Source organism: Homo sapiens, chromosome 6, assembly GCF_000001405.40.
Source record: "Homo sapiens chromosome 6, GRCh38.p14 Primary Assembly".
Lineage (NCBI taxonomy): Eukaryota > Metazoa > Chordata > Mammalia > Primates > Hominidae > Homo > Homo sapiens.
In genome coordinates, this window is record NC_000006.12 from 24,429,367 (window position 1) to 24,446,420 (window position 17,054).

The 17,054-nt window shown below is 43.7% G+C and overlaps 1 protein-coding gene across 4 annotated transcripts in view; it reads right to left on the reverse strand.

Annotated features, from left to right (window-relative positions):
• Positions 1-17,054, reverse strand: part of GPLD1 (glycosylphosphatidylinositol specific phospholipase D1) — a 71,319-nt gene that overhangs the window by 5,398 nt on the left and 48,867 nt on the right. For all 4 annotated transcript variants that reach the window (XR_007059240.1, XM_017010753.3, NM_001503.4 and 1 more), the window contains 6 exons: positions 16,360-16,465; positions 16,180-16,273; positions 7,747-7,923; positions 7,210-7,370; positions 3,997-4,023; positions 3,821-3,871 (listed from right to left, as the gene is read on the reverse strand). Coding sequence is in view for 3 of the 4 variants with exons in the window: in XM_017010753.3 (XP_016866242.1) it covers positions 3,821-3,871; positions 3,997-4,023; positions 7,210-7,370; positions 7,747-7,923; positions 16,180-16,273; positions 16,360-16,465 (616 nt within the window). In the remaining variant the exon portion in view is untranslated. The remainder of the gene's footprint in view (positions 1-3,820; positions 3,872-3,996; positions 4,024-7,209; positions 7,371-7,746; positions 7,924-16,179; positions 16,274-16,359; positions 16,466-17,054) is intronic.

Consider the following 17,054-nt stretch of genomic DNA (forward strand, 5'->3'; position numbering starts at 1 on the left):
AAGTAGGGCAGTGCATGCTTAGTTCTGGTACAATGTGGAAAACATATCTTGAATAGTAAGGACTTCCCCTAGAAGCTGGCTTTGTCAATGTGTTTAGCGTACCTCCCACCTACCCTGCTGCTTAAAACATTTTAGGACCCATCTTTCAGAATTGCCTTCAAAACCTGCTGCAAGTTTTTAAAACATTTTCTTCTTTTTTGAAACAGAGTCTTGCCCTGTCACCCAGGCTGGAGTGCAGTGATGTGATCTCAGCTCACTGCAACTTCTGCTTCCTAGTTTCAAGTGATTCTCATGTCTCAGCCTCCCGAGTAGCGGAGATTACAGGCATGTGCCACCACATCTGGCTAATTTTTGTATTTTTAGTAGAGACGAGCTCTCACCATGTTGGCCAGGCTGGTCTCGAACTCCCGACCTCAAGTGATCCACCCGCCTCGGCTTCCCAAAGTGCTGAAATTACAGATGTGAGCCACCATGCCTGGTCTTTAAATATTTTCAGTGGTGGCAAATCTTCATACTCCGAGGTCGGATTTGATTTGTGGAAACTGACAAAAGTTATTCTGAACCAAAGCTGGCACATGAGGTACGGGTGATCAAACTGGCTGACAGTATTTTGGTCAGAGCAGGATATGACAGTTTCTTATTTAATTTTGAAAACTACTGATGAAATCTAGAAATAATAATAATAGCTAAAATTTGTGGAGGTTGTATCATGGGTCAGACACTATGCTTAGCCCTGTGCTTATCTTATCCCTTAATACCCAGTGTCAATTAATAGGGAAAATCTACACTTAAGAAAACAGCATCAAATGGTACTTTATTCTCCCTCTCTTTCCCAATTTATGGAATTACTCATTTACTAAATTTGCCTGGCCTTCGGCTTCACTCTGTTTTGTCAGAGTCTAGTCATCTTTCCAGATGCAGCTCCGGGCCCATGATCTCTGCAGGCCCTTCCCTGACTCCACCAGCAGAGACTTCTGCTGCAGTTGCTGTCTGACCTCGTTTGGCTCTTGGTCATCATACACCAAACTGGATGGTCTTGTGGGCCTGCTGTATTTTCCCACCTAGACTACAAGCACCTGGGGCTGGGACCATGTCTCAGGTTTCTTTGTCTATCTCACAGGTGCTTGATACAACACTGCTCACTATACACTAAGTTACTGCTCTGCTGAGGCTCCTGAGCTGATGGAAGGCAGCCCCATGAGAAGTTTCTGAAATACAGAGACAGTGAGAGCACTACTTACTTAAGTAGACGCCGGATCCTAATTCTAGTTTGTTACGACTAATTTCATTACTGAATGCTCTTATGCCACAGAAAGGAAGGAATCTTCAGAACATAACTTGTACCCAAATCTCAGAAAAAGGCCACTCTGATCATCCTCTGATTGTCAATGCCCATTTTTGAAACATAACATCTGATTTATCTTTACACCCAGAGCGTTCAATGCCCCCAAGCTCAGGTATGTGCTGGAAAAGTGAAGTAATTTTAACACTAACCCAGGTAAACAATAATTAGGAAGGTACATTTGCAGTGTTTTACAAAAAGGAATAAAATATAAGTTACTTTTAGATTATATATACCACTACTCTCAACTGATGTAAGCTATAGTTGATATATGTATAGTTTTATATAATACATGGGTTCTTGACAATGCCTAATTTTTGAAACAAATAAAATTTTAGATATAAGCCAAGCTTGTCATATAAAGGATCCCTGTGATCAGACCTTCCGAGAATCTTCCCATAAAGTTAATAACCATATTTTTGTTATGTGGTTAATCCTACATTTTTAGACCTGCCTGTAAATGGGTCACTTAAATTATTGGCCACTAGAGGGCAGTTTCACCACAATTTTTCCTAATCCTCTTCCTCCTCCCACCTTCCACCCTGGTCCACAGGAACCTGGTCCACAGCACTTAACAAGTCTTACAGACCTGGTTATATATATAAATCTATGAAGGCTTCTGCAGCCCTTCAACCCACTGTAAAGACTTATTCTTCAGACTACTCATTAGCATTTAATCCTATACTAATTTGCATTTTATTTGACTTTCCATGTATATGAATCTTATTTTCAAGAACAGGGACTCTGCCCTCTCTGTTTTTATTTCTTATAGCCTATACAGTGGATGAATGCAATCAGTGGTTTACAGGTATATTTTAAGGTTAAACTTTTTTTTTTTTTTTTTGAGACAGAGTCTTGCTCCATCACCCAGGCTGGAGTACAGTGGCACCATCTAGGCTCACGGCAACCTCCACCTCCCAGGTTCAAGCGATTCTCCTGCCTCAGTCTCCCGAATAGCTGAGACTATAGGCATGCACCACCACGCCGGGCTATTTTTTGTATTTTTAGTAGAGCCGGGGTTTCACCATGTTGACCAGGCTGGTCTTGAACTCCTGACCTCAGGCGATCCACCAACCTCGGCTTCTCAAAGTGCTGGGATTACAGGTGTGACCCACTGCACCCAGCCAAGGTTAAACTTTTTAATCTGCCATATCGAAATTTAAACTGTGTACACTTTTAGATCTAGCAATCCTACTTTTAAGATTCTCACCTGTGGGGATACTTGCTCAATTATAAAAAGCTACACATACGTACAAGAATGCTCACTATGGCCTTGTCTGTAATAGCCAAAAAAAATGGGGGGCCAAGGTGGGTGGATCTCTTGAGCCCAGGAGTTCAAGACCAGCCTGGGCAACATGGTGAAACTCTTGTCTCCTAAAAATACAAAAACTAGCATGGAATGGTGTCACACACCTGTGGTCTCAGCTACTCAGGAGGCTGAGGTTGGAGGATCACTTGAGTCCAGGAGACAGAGGTTGCAGTGAGCCAAGACCACACCATTGCACTCCGGCCTAGGTGACAAGAGCCAGACTCTGTCTTAAAAAAAAAAAAAAAAAAAAAGGTGTGTGTGTGTATCTCTGAAGCCATAGAAAAACAGAAAAACTCTGGGCCGGGTGCAGTGGTGCATGCTTATAATCCCAGCACTTTGGAAGGCAGAGGCAGGCAGATCATTTGAGGCCAGGAGTTTGAGACCAGCCTTGACAACGTGGCAAAACCCCATGTCTACAAAAAGTTTTTGAAAAAATAGCTGGGCCTGGTGGTGGGCACCTGTAATCCCAGCTACTTGGGAGGCTGAGGCAGGAAAATCACTTGAACCTGGGAGGTGGAGGTTGCGGTGAGCCAAATTTGCACCACTGCACTCCAGCATGGGCGACAGAGCAAGGTTCTGTATAAAAAATAATAAAGAAAGAAAAAACTCTGAAAGTCTGGAAGAAAATAGCAAAATACTAATAATGGTTATTTTCTAAGGCAAGGGCCAGCAAACAATTTTGGAGAACAGGCAGATAATAATACTTAGGCTTTGTGGGGCATCAGTCTCCAAAGCAACCAGTCAGTTCTGCCACGGCAGCACGACAGCAGCCACGCGCAGTCCACAGCAGACGAGCCCGGCTATGTTCCACTACAGCTGTGTGGGCGCTGAAACTGCACTGCCGTTTAAACTTCATATGTTACAAAACATTCTGTTTTGATTTCTTTTCAACCATCTCAACATGAGCTGACTTTTTTAGTTCATGGCTTTACAAAATTAGGTGGCAGACGACTTGGCCCCAACCCCTGCTGTAGAGGATAAAATAGGAAGAGTAAAAAGGGAAACTTTCCACCAAGGAAGTGATGAGATTATATGTGAATGTTACTTTCTGTGTGTTCCTCTCCTTTTCAAATAAAAATAAAATCTGAAATAAACCTAACAAGTGAGACCACCAAATCCCACCCGTAGTACTAACATAAACATCAATGAAGTTCAGTCCTTGGGCTCACCTTTGCCTTGGACCTCACGGTGATGAGGGAGCTCCCAAACCTTGAGCTGGCCTGTAAAACATGCCGTCTGTTAATGGGCTTTGAAGAACATAGTGTAATACTTTATCCGTTTAAAATAAACCAAGGGGCATTGTTTTGGTAATTTTTCTTTCTTCAGTCTTTCAAGGGATACTTACTTCAGGAGAAATCAATACATATTGGGCCTGAAGAAAAAAATTGAGGAGAGAGACAATGTTATTACTGTTTGTGTGGCTTTTTAAAATCAATTTTAATTATACCCTTATACCCTCATTTCTACTTTTTTTTTTTTTTTTTTTTTTTTTTGAGAAGGAGTCTTGCTCTGTCGCCCAGGCTGGAGTGCAGTGGCGTGATCTCAGCTCACTGCAACCTCTGCCTCCCAGGTTCAAGCAAGTCTCCCGCTTCAGCCTCGTGAGTTGATGGAATTACAGGCGCCCACCACCACGCCCGGTTAATTTTTTTGTATTTTTAGTAGAGAGGCGGTTTCACCACGTTGGCCAGGCCGGTCTCGAACTCCTCACCTCAGGTGATCCACCCACCTCAGCCTCCCAAAGTGCTGGGATTACAGGCATGAGCCACCACGCCCAGCCTCATTTCTACATTTCTTGATTAGCCTTACAAATGTGCATGCCCTTTGACCCCAGAAATTCTACTTATAGAAATACAGGTCAGAAAAATAACCAGATGTATAAAAACATTTATGTGACTATTTACCATATTATTTAAAACAATGAAAATTGGAAATGGCACAATTGACTAACAATGGTTGCCTGAATAATGGGTAAATAAACTATGGTTTGTCTGTAGATAAAATACTCATCAGCCGGTAAATATCATATTATATAAGAATATCAGATAACATAAGAAAATGTTCTCGGTATATTGTTAGGTAGAAAGAAAAATCAAGTTACGGCCAGGCACAGTGGCTCACACCTATAATCCCAGCACTTTGGGAGGCTGAGGCAGGCGGATCACTGGAGGTCAGGAGTTCGAGACCAGCTTGGCCAACGTGGTGAAACCCCGTCTCTACTAAAAACACAAAAATTAGCCAGGCACGGTGGTGTGCGCCTGTAGTCCCAGCTACTCAGGAAGCTGAGGCAGGAGAATCGCTTGAACCTGGGAGGTGGAGGTTTTACTGAGCCGAGATCATGCCACTGCACTCCAGCCTGGATGACAGAGTGAGACTCCATTAAAAAAAAAAAAGTTACAAAATTATGCACAAATTATGCACAATAGGATCACAATTGTTAACCAAAATATGCACGCACATAGTGTAATACTTAAGGGTAGGCTTTAGAATCAGATCTTGGTTCAAATCTCTGTTGTGCCCTGCCTTCCTGGCAGTGTAACCTTGAATAAACTTCCTCGCTGATCTTTAATTTTTTTATTTTAAGACAGGGTCTTGGGCGGATCACGAGGTCAGGAGATCAAGACCATCGTGGCTAACACGGTGAAACCCCGTTTCTACTAAAAATACAAAAAAATTAGCCAGGCGTGGTAGTGGGCGCCTGTAGCCCCAGCTACTTGGGAGGCTGAGGCAGGAGAATGGCATGAACCTGGGAGGTGGAGGTTGCAGTGAGCCGAGATCACGCCACTGCACTCCAGCCTGGGCGACAGAGCGAGACTCCGTCTCAAAAAAAAAAAAAAAAAAGACAGGGTCTCCCTATGTTGCCCAAGCTGGTGCTGAACTCCTGAGCTCAAGGGATCCTCCTGCCTCAGCCTCCCAAAGTGCTGGGATTACAAGCATAAGCCACCACACTCAGCTGAGATCTTTAATTTTTTTAATCTGTAAATGGGCATAATATTAATTTCTTTTTTTTTTTTTTTGAGACAGAGTCTTGCTGTTGCCCAGGTTGGAGTGCAGTGGCATGATCTCGACTCACTGCAAGCTCCGCCTCCCGGGTTCACGCCATTCTCCTGCCTCAGCCTCCCGAGTAGCTGGGACTACAGGCGCCCGCCACCAAGCCCGGCTAATTTTTTGTATCTTTAGTAGGGACAGGGTTTCACAGTGTTAGCCAGGATGGTCTCGATCTTCTGACCTTGTGATCCGCCCGCCTCAGCCTCCCAAAGTGCTGGGATTACAGGCGTGAGCCACTGCGCCCGGCCAATTTCATAGCTTTTATGGGGATTAAATGATACATAGTTCTTAGCATATGCATACTAAATGCACAATAAATGGTAGTAATTAAATTCATAGGAAAAATACTAGCAGGATCCGCTCTAAAGGTAAGCAGGTATTAGCTCTGCAGAGTGGAATTTTAGGTAGATAATTTTTAATTCTCTTTGTACATTTTTGTATTTTCTAAAATTTCCATAATAAACTTTCACTAATTTTGCAATTTAAAAAATAATTTTAAATTTTTTAAAATAGGTGGGGTACGGTGGCTCATGCCTGTTATCCCAGCACTTTGGGCTGTAATCCCAGCCTGGCCGACATGGTGAAACCCTGTCTCTACTAAAAATACAAAAAATTAGCCAGGCGTGGTGGTGCATGCCTGTAGTCCCAGCTATTCGGGAGGCTGAAGCAGGAAAATGGCTTGAACCTGGGAGGAGGAGGTTGCAGTGAGCCGAGACCGTGCCACTGCACTCCAGCCTGGGCAATAGAGCCAGACGCTGTCTCAAAAAAAAAAAAAAAAAAAAAAAGTTAAATAATGGCCAAATGCTTTAGGCCCAGGAAATGTAACTTAAGGAAACTCACCCAAAAAAGGAATAAACAAAGAAATGAAACAAAAAGCAAAAGAGAGGACGTTTTAATGAAACTCCAGTGGCTGGCCGAGCATGGTGGCTCATGCCTGTAATCCCAGCACTTTGTGAGGCCAGGTAGAAGAACTGCTTGAGCCCAAGAGTTCAATACCAGCCTGGGCAACATAGTGAGGCCCCATCTCTACAAATAATAAAAAGATTAGCCGGGTGTGGTGGCACATGCCTGTAGTCCTAGCTACTCGGGAGGCTGAGACAAGAGAATCACCTGAGCCCAGGAGTTTGAGGCTGCAGTGGGCCATGATCACACCACTGCACTCCAGCCTGGGCAATGGAACAGGAACCCGTCTCTATTTTAAAAAGAGAAACTCCAATGGCCATGGCCTGTTTTCTTTCTTCTGTGCTGTGGGTGCCTAACCAAGCAGTGGCAGGCTGTGTGACCAGGGACCTACATAACACCAAGTCCAGTGGGACTTTAGCTCTGGGCACAAATGTTGCAGAACTGTAAGAACTGCAGGCAGCTGGGGCCCACAAAACATGGACAGATGATGGTGTCCTGACCCTAGGAGGTATGAATTCAGGTAAGCACTTTATAGTGGACATGAGTTAACAAGGAATCAGCAATTAGTGATCCTTTCCCAATAAGTTATAGAATTTTGTAGAACACTTACCTTTTCTTCTGGACATGGAGTTATCCATGATTTGCATTTGCCAGTCATGTCACCAAGGGTGGTCTCTTTGCCATTATATACATATACTCGGCCGTCTTCTCCCCCAATCAGTCCAGAGGTTACATCTGCTATCCTCAGGGGGGCTGCCATGATGATTTCATCTGAAAACAATAAAAACCGACAGAAGGAAGTATTTGACTCCTCACTGTCATCTTTTCCTTGTTCCGCTACTGGATCCTAACCCAACCTCTTACAAATAATATTAGTATCTCCTTTAGTCGGCTGTGATTTCATCCTGGCAAAGGCTTTTGTTTCCTACTTCATTCATCAATAGCAATTACTACAGGTGATTCTCATATTACCAGCTTCAAGAAGTGCAACTCCCTCTCTGGTCTTGCCTCATTCAAGATCTGTCTAAAGGTCCTTGGGCCACTGGGCTGTCAATTATAAGGGCAGAGCCCAGATGACCCAATTAGGGGACCCACCCCCTGGGCAAAGGGACTCAATTCTTGTCAAAGGGTCCTGTTCCTTTCTTACCTAAGCCATCATCATCCAGGTCACTCAAGTGCAGAACGCCACCAAATCGGGAGAAGCGGCGGTCTCCGCTGAAGGTGCTGAGCAGCAGAGGCTGCGCGTCAGATGTGAGTGCGTACATGCGAGTGGCTCCGCCTTGGTGTAGGGTCACGGTCAGGAATGCCACCTTAGACACGTCATCTGAAACGAACCACAGTTCCTGCTGGCCTCACAGAAAGGAAGGCATTACAGAACACGGAATAGCACCCCATCCTCAAGTGACACTGATCACTCGGGATCCTACAGGACAGTCGGTTTCGGAGCTGGTCATCTCCGGCAGTCAGGGAGGTACAACCAGCTTGGGCACCAAGGCACAAACACCAGAGAGCTTCAGTGATTTCCCTCCAGGCAGGTATTCTTTTTTCCAGTCTTATCCCCATAATACAGTCTCCACACAGCCACCTTTTTATTTTCTCGTATCACAAACTAGGTCACCCCCATGACTGACACATCCAAACGCAAGTGGACTCTGGATGGAGTCCAAACTCTTCACAAGGCCTTACAGAATCTGACTCCCACTTGGGGATCTAGCGCCATTAACCTTTTCACCCACACTTCACCAAAATGAACTTAAACCACAGCCCAATCTATGTCTTAAATTTGGGCCTTTGGACATGATGTGCTCTCTGCCTGGAATAGAGGCATATGCTCCGCGTGCTCCCCTGTCCACATCCCTCTGCTGGCTACTCCTGTCACCCTGCAGAATTTGGCTCAGGTGTCCCCTCCTCTGGGAAGCCTTTCCTAATCTCGCTGGTCTAGAGAAGAGGCCGCTTCCCTGTGCTCCCATACATAATAACACCGAGTCCAGTGGGACTTTAGCTCTGGGCACAAACGCTACAGAACTGCAAGAACTGCAGACAGCTGGGGCCCACAAAACATGGGCAAGTGATTGTGTCCTGACCCCAGGACCTCTGAGTTCAGGTAAGCATTTTACAGGGGACATGAGCTGTGCCCAGTGCCTTCTGAATACCCACGGCAGGGCAGCATCGCTCTGCATTCACTTCTGTGTCTCCTGCATCAGGCGCCCATTCCACAAGAAATGCGGTCACGTCTCTGTCTCTCTATCCACTGTACCTAGCATGGTGCTTGGTTCTGTACAAGTATTCAATAAAGTGTTTTTTGAATTAATGAATTTTGAACAAACTCAAAGCTAGTTGTTGGAATTTCGCTGTAAACTTTATTATTTGGAACACAGCTTTGATTTCAGAAATATAAATGGCACCTGTGGGTTGATGGGGCTAGTGGCCCTCTGAGAAGTTTGCCGTATGCTGGCAAAGTGTCAGTGCGTGGATACAATCTCACGTCAGCGTCCACTGAGTTTTGTGTGTAAAACTGAGCTAATCTGACCTGTTTTTTCGGACAAACTTGTGCCTTGTTTATGGGAAACTGTCCACTAGAAGCCACTGAGGGCTCAAAGCAGAGTCGGCAACAACAGTCAGATATAACAGCTAGAAAACAGTAGGAAATAAGAAAGAGTATTTTAAAAGCTCAGCAATCTGGAGCTTTCTGATACAGGGCAAACAACATGACCTAACACAATGTCTCCTAAGAGAACAATGTGCCAGCACAACAGTTAATATTCAGAGTGAAAGCCCAAAATATCAAGAAAAGTTGAAATAAGAGAAAATCTTCATTCCTTTTTCTTTTTTTATTATTGAGATGGAGTCTCACTCTGTCACCCAGGCTGGAGTACAGCGGCGTGATCTCGGCTCACTGCAACCTCCGCTTCCTGGGTTCAAGCGATTCTCCTGCCTCAGCCTCCCGAGTAGCTGGGACTACAGGCACGCGCCACCACGCCTAATTTTTTGTATTTTTAGTAGAGACAGGGTTTCACCGTGTTAGCCAGGATGGTCTTGATCTCCTGACCTCGTGATCTGCCTGCCTCAGTCTCCCAAAAGTGCTGGGATTACAGGTGCAAGCCACCAAGCCCAGCCACATTCCCTTTCTTTTCGTGCCTCCTAAAGGAACCATGAGCTCCCTGGAGCGCCCAGGAATCCAGTAACACTTCCAGCTCTCTGTCTACTCCCTGCTTCAGTCCTTCCATGGCAAGAGGATACCTGAGGCTTCTCCCTCTGGCTCTGCCGCCCACAGGATGAACACTGGCCCCAGTGCATGTGGGAGAATCTCAGAGAAGTCACCCCAAGGTCTAGCTTTCGGAGCAAGAATTAGAAAGCCTGAATAGGGCTGCCCATTGAGACTGTGTTCTCTAATCCAACTATGTCAGCTCTTCAAAAGTACATATTTTGATATCCCTCTGAATGATTCATGAATCTATTTCAGAAATGATTTGAAATGCACAAGGATGAGGAAGAATTGTAATTAATCAATACTCCCAAATCTCTAACACGCATCACAGTCTGTTAAAGAAGAGAAGCATATAATTTAAAATAATTTCATCAAAGTGTTTTTTTAATTCTTCAGAATTAAAACAGAAGAATCTAGACACTTGGAAATTTCAGCCATTCAAAACACCTCACCTTCTCAATCATGCAAATTAAACAATGGATTATCATACACATTTAGACAAGGAGAAAAAACTCAAGGTAATGTTGTAGGCATTTCTATATTATTTCAGTACTGAAAATAATTCTGAAGAACTTTGGCTTTTAAAAGGGCTACATGCAGAGGCCTTTATGAATTCCCAAATTCTAGAATGCTACTATAACACAGAATTCCTTCTGTAATGCTTATACCTTCTAGTTAACATAGAATTCCTTCTGTAATGCTTAAACCCTCTGATTAAGGACCATTATCTTTTAGACCTCCATATTGCCTTAATTTCTGCCACGAGCACTAGTCCCTAGGGTTGTGTTTGGGATGCAGGGGTGGTGGGTATTTTTTAAATACACACACAAGTGTTTTACTTCTCATGTGGAACTTTTCTTCCAGTGGAGGGAGCAGAAAACAAAAGAGCTATTGTGAAACACAGGTGCATCTCACCAACTCTACTCTCTTGAAAACCACAGGAAAGAGGATATCATCTTGTAATGTGGTTCATATTTGTGTCTCAGAAAAACTATAAACTTGCCAGGCATGATGGCTCATGCCTATAATCCCAGCATTTGGGAGGCTGAGGCAGGAGGATCACTTCAGCTCATGAGTTCAAGACCAGCCTGGGAAATGCAGTGAGACCCCATCACTACAAAAAGTAGGGTGTGGTGGCATGTGCCTGTAGTCTGACCTACTCAAGAGGCTTGAGGCGGCAGGATCGCTTGACCTCAGGTGTTCAAGGTAACAGTGAGCTGTGATCACACCATTGAACTCCAGCCTGGGCAACAGAGCAAGACCCTATGGCTTAAAAAGAAAAAGAAAAATTATCAACTGTAAGTTACTTAATGTCACCAGCTTTCAGGATTACTGCAAAAGTCAAAACTATGAAGATGTCAAGAAGATCTTTTATATTTGATCATTATCAAAAGTGTAAAAAATACTCAAAAAAAAAAAAAAAAGAAGCATAATCCAGGTGTTGTGGCACATGCCTGTGGTCCCGGCTACTTGTGAACCTGAGATGGGAGGATCACTTGAGCCCAGAAGTTCATGGCCAGCCTCGGCAACATAGCAAGACTCCAACTATTAAAAAAAAAAAAAAAAGCATAAAGAAGAAAATGTATATACTATATATATTTCTTTCTGGAAAGTGAGATAGGTAGGTAGGTAGGCAGATATCTATAAACACACATTTTAAACAAAATGGAGATTTTGTGGATTATAAAATTTTAAATCTGATTCTTTTCACATTTAGGCTATTTCTAGCTTTTTACTACTATAAACAATACAGCCATCCCTCAGTATCCACGAAGGATTGGTTCCAGGGCCTCTCACAGATACCAAAATCCACGGATGTTCAAGCCCCTGATATAAAATGGTATAGTGACTGGGCGCAGTGGCTCACGCCTGTAATCCCAGCACTGTGGGAGGCCGAGGCGGGCGGATCACCTGACATCGGGAGTTTGAGACCAGCCTGGCCAACATGGTGAAACTCCATCTCTACTAAAAATAAAAAAAAAAATAGCTGGGCATGGTGGTGCGTGCCTGTAGTTCCAGCTACTCAGGAGAATGAAACAGGAGAACTGCATGAACCTGGGAGGCAGAGGCTGCAGTGAGCTTGAGATCACACCACTACATTCCAGCCTGGGCAAGAGAGCGAGACTCTATCTCAAAAAAAAAAAAAAAAGTATATCAAAAATCTCAAATTTAGATTAATCTGTGCCTTATAGCTGTGATTCCCAAACTGCACACTGAAGCGCTTCAGTGAACTGGCAAAGATGCTGTAGATATTTTGACATTTCAAAGATAACAGTGACATCTGACACCACACGAACTACTGGGTGGAGGCCGGTCACAGTTACGACACGAGAGTCCTGCATTCGTTTCAGTGATGCCACATCTTTGCAAAGCTGCATATTCAGGGATGGTTGTGATAAAAAGCAGGCACTAATGAAAAAATTGCTGTGGATTAGGAAATGAGGAAAGTTGTGTCTAACCTGATTCCAAGACTTGAAAAGCTGTACAGTGCCGAGAGAAGCTAAGTGGTTAGGACATAAATGCAGGGCATGTGCCCCTGTGGTCACACAGGCACTGCATTTCGAAAGGACCTATGCCTGTCTTCATGTTGTCCTGTCTCTGACTTGAAATTGTCAACAATGTTTTAACAAGGGGCCCTGCATTTTTATTTGGAACTGGGCCCCGCAAACTGTGTGGGTGAAATACAAGTAAAATACAAGTAATAATGGGAAAATCTGAACAATTTGGGTGAAATATATCAATAACAATAACCTGATGGTGACATTAATTCATATTTATATATAATATATAGTTATATATACATTCATACATTATATATAGACACATACATGTATATATAATATATACATATTATATACATTTATATTATATATTAGTATACTTATACACACTTTATAAATTAGCATATTATATACATACATAAAAGTTATAATTAAACTTATTTTCTATTATTATTTATCTTTTAAAAAATAGGGTCTCACTCTGTTGCCCAGGCTGGAGTGCAGTGGGTGTGATCATAGCTCACTGCAGCCTTGAACTCCTGGGCTCAAGTGATCTTCCCACCTCAGCCTCCTCAGTAGATGGAACTACATGTGCCCATCACTATGCCTACCTTTTTTTCTTTTTCTGTAGAGATGGGGTCTCCCTATATTGTCCAGGCTGGCCTCAAATTCTTGGGCTCAAGCAATCTTCCCACCTTAGTCTGCTGAGTAGCTAGGACCAGAGGTGCATGCCACCACATCTGGCTAATTTTTTTTTTTTTTTTTTTTTTTTTTTTTTTTTTTTTTTTGAGATGGAATTTCACTCTGTCACCCAGGCTGGAGTGCAGTGGCACAATCTCAGCTCACTGCAAGCTCTGGCTCCGGGATTCACGCCATTCTCCTGCCTCAGCCTCCTAAGTAGCTGGGACTACAGGTGCCCACCACCACGCCCAGCTAATTTTTTGTGTTTTTAGTAGAGACAGGGTTTCACTGTGTTAGCCAGGATGGTCTCGATCACCTGACCTCATGATCCACCCACCTCAGCCTCCCAAAGTGCTAAGATTACAGGCATGAGCCACTGCGCCTGGCCCAATTTTTAAAATTTTTTGTAGAGACAGGGTCTCACTGTGTTGCCCAGGCTGGTCTTGAACTCTTGGCCTCCAGTGATCCTCCTGCCTTAGCCTCCCAAAGTGCTGCGATTACAGGCATGACCCACCATGCCTGACCTTCTATTTTATATTGGACTTTATCATAGGAAAAAAAATTATCAAGAGAGTAAGGGCACCAAAACCAAGAAAGTTTGAGAAACTCTAATTCACAACACTTGGGTAGAAAGAGTGGTGAAGAAAATAAAGTTAATAATGTGTGTTGCAAGAGCTTAGAAATCATTCCCTAGACTCTGAAAAGCAAAAATGATTCTGTGGCTGACTGCTATGGTTACTACTTGAGACCGTCATCACAGCAATTACTACTGTTACTGCTTGAGAGCGTCATTACAAGACTGAACGAAGGAGGACGAACGTAGAAATGAAAACTTGAAGCAAAAGAAACTGTTTTAAAGGAAGGGGAACCGAGGAAGAAGAGAGCTCCCGGCTTCTAGTGAGCAAAGGCAGCTAGCTCCCGAGCTTCCACAGCCCTTCCCATTTATTGGTTAGCAAAAGCAGGGAGGAGGAGGTAACGATTGGTCAGCTGCTTAATTGATCACAGGTTCATATTATTATTAACAGGCTTCAGATGTGCCTAATCACAAGAAACACGGCACTTGGGGCGTGACTGCCCTCAGCTTTCCTTCTGGGTGGCAAATGCAGTTTGTCAGTTTGCCAACATTCTGCATTTATGAGAAACAGTTTTGCTGCTTACTCAAATAGCCTCCAGTGGTATACTGAGTTATCACGACCCTCATTCTTTTGGCTTCCAACATGATTCCAAAGCTAAGTCAGCACTTTTTTTTTGTTATAATGCTGTGTCTTCGATTTAATGAAAAATTTAGCCATTCCTTTGCCTAATCCACTTGTTTTTTTGTTTTTTTGTTTTTGAGACTGAGTCTCACTCTGTCACCCAGGCTGGAGTGCAGTGGTGTCATCTTGGCTCAGTGCAACCTCTGCCTCCAGGGTTCAAGCAATTGTTGTGGTTCAGGCTCAGGAGTAGCTGGGATTACAGGAGCGTGCCACTATGCCTGGCTAATTTGTGTATTTTTAGTAGGTTTAGACAGGTTTCACCATGTTGGCCAGGCTGGTCTCTAACTCCTGACCTCAACTGATCCACCCACCTCTGCCTCCCAAAGTGCCAGGATTACAGGCGTGAGCCACTGCACCCCGCCTGTCTGACCCACTTCTGCTTATTATTCAAATCTTTCCCATATTGCAAGAAACAACAATCTTTCTGAAAAATAGTTTGATGATATATAACAAGAGCTTTTAGAAAGATTAGAACCTCTACTCCAGTAATTCCATCTCCAGGAATCTATCCAAAAAACTAATCAGAAAGGCAGTCAAAGACTAGGTACATGAGTGTTCAATAATTACTTATTCACAATAGTGTGAAACTGGAAACGAGCCTACAATTCCAGCAACAGGATGATGTTAGTAAATGCTGGCATTAAAAAAATGCAATGCAGATATCAAAAGTCATGTTTTAGAAGAATATTTACTAACATGAGAATGTGCTTAAGATATAAGTAAAAAAATTAGGCATGACAATATCATATATAGTATAAGCTTCAGTTTTTAAATATCTGGGTAAGGGGTGTTTTTTTTTTCCTTCTATATATTTCCTTGTATTTTCAGAAGTTTCCACAATAAGCATAATTCACCTTTATAATCTGGGAGGAAATGGTTCTTATTTATTTTTTTTTTTAAAGACTATCTTTCCCATAAAGTAAACAAAATAATGGTTTATATAAAGTATGTTTTCAGGGGTGGGTGCAGTGGATCATGCCTGTAATCCCAGCACTTTGGGAGACCAAGGTGGGAGGATTACTTGAGCCCAGGAGTTAGAGACCAGTCTGGCCAACATGTTGAGACCCTCTCGCTACAAAAAATAAAAAATTAGATAATGTGGTGGCTGACTGCCTGTAGTCGCAGCTACTCAGGAGGCTGAGGTGCAAGGTTCACTTTGCCCAGGAGGTCAAGGCTGCCATAAGCCATAATCACACCGCTGCACTCCAGCCTGGGCGACACAGCAAGACTGTCTCAAAAAAGAAAAATAAAAGATAGGTCCTCATAGTGGACCTATTCCTAGTGAACTGACTTATACAATTTTTCTCTGGCTCCAAGTTCCATGGGATAGGGGCTTTAAAAATACACTAAGTTACTTTCATATGTCATTTTCAACAAAGCTTTGAAACACAAATTTTATTTTATCTTATTTTATTTTATTTTTATTTTATTTTTGAGATGAAGTCTTGCTCTGTTGCCCAGGCTGGAGTGCAGTGGCATGATCTTGGCTTACTGCAACTTCTGCCTCCCAGATTCAAGCGATTCTCCTGCCTCAGCCTCCCGAGTAGCTGGGATTACAGGTATGCACCACCACACCTGGCTAATTTTTGTATTTTTAGTAGAGGCAAAGTTTCACCATGTTGCCAGGCTGGTCTCCAACTCCTGACCTCAAGTGATTCTCTCACCTTGGCCTCCCAAAGTGCTGGGATTACAGGTGTGAGCCACCGCACCCGGCCTGAAATAGGTATTTACAATTTCAGTTTTGTAGATGGTGATACAAAAGTTCTGAGAGGTTAAGTAACTTCCCCAAAGTTACACAGAATGTTATTAATGAAAAAAGGAAATATTGAAACCTAGATCTGTTCAGCTCCAGATCTCATCACTTTCCTCCAATACGACATGTACAAGCAGCCACATGACTGAAAGGAAGCACAGTTTCACAGTGTGTGACCTACCGTACGTAGGGGCTCCAACCAGCAGCACTTGTTTCAGAGTCCCATTCATCAGTACGTGGCCACTGGAAAGGGAAGTACCCAGTTTCCCCATTGCCTGTGAGACACAATAAATCAATATTGTATAGGTGAGAAAACTTCCTTGGAGTGTCCACTCTCCTGTGTGGGGAGGGCTTGTCATACCTTGTCTCCAGAAATGGTAAACCAGCTTTGGCCGTTTGGTGGGAAGTAGCCATACACCCTCCCAAGGCTCTTTTTCTCATCTCGGATGTGTAACAAATGGCCCAGCCTAGAATGAAGCACACTGGGCTTAGCTGCCAGGGCACAAGACTGACAGCTGGCCAGGTACTCAGGAGCAAGGAAAGGAAATGCACCTCCCCCCATCCAGGCCTCCCAGCAGGCTCTGTCTCTGCGACCCCAGGCCTGGAAGTGTGGGGACTATTGGAGTTAATCGCAACATCCAGGCTCTCCAGGTGCCACACCCACCATCCTGCCTCCCAACTGACAGGCCTCCCAGCAGACTCTCTGGGATAGAGATATAGGGGTACCTACTGTTATGGGCTCAGTGGTGGTCCCCCCGATCCCTACACTGAAGCCCTAACCCCCAGTATCTCTGAATGTGACTACTTGAAGACAGAGTCTTTAAAGAGGTGATTAAGTTACGATGAGGTCATTTGGGTGGATCCTGATCCAATAGGACTGGTGTCTTTCAAAGAAGAGGAGAGGCAGGAGGATCACTTGAGGCCAGTTTGAGACGAGCCTGGGCAACACTGCAAAAACCCATCCCTATAAAAATGTTTTTAAATTAAAAAAAAAAATTAGCTAGGCATGGGCACACACGACTTGTAGTCCCAGCTATTCAGGAGGCCGAGGCAGGA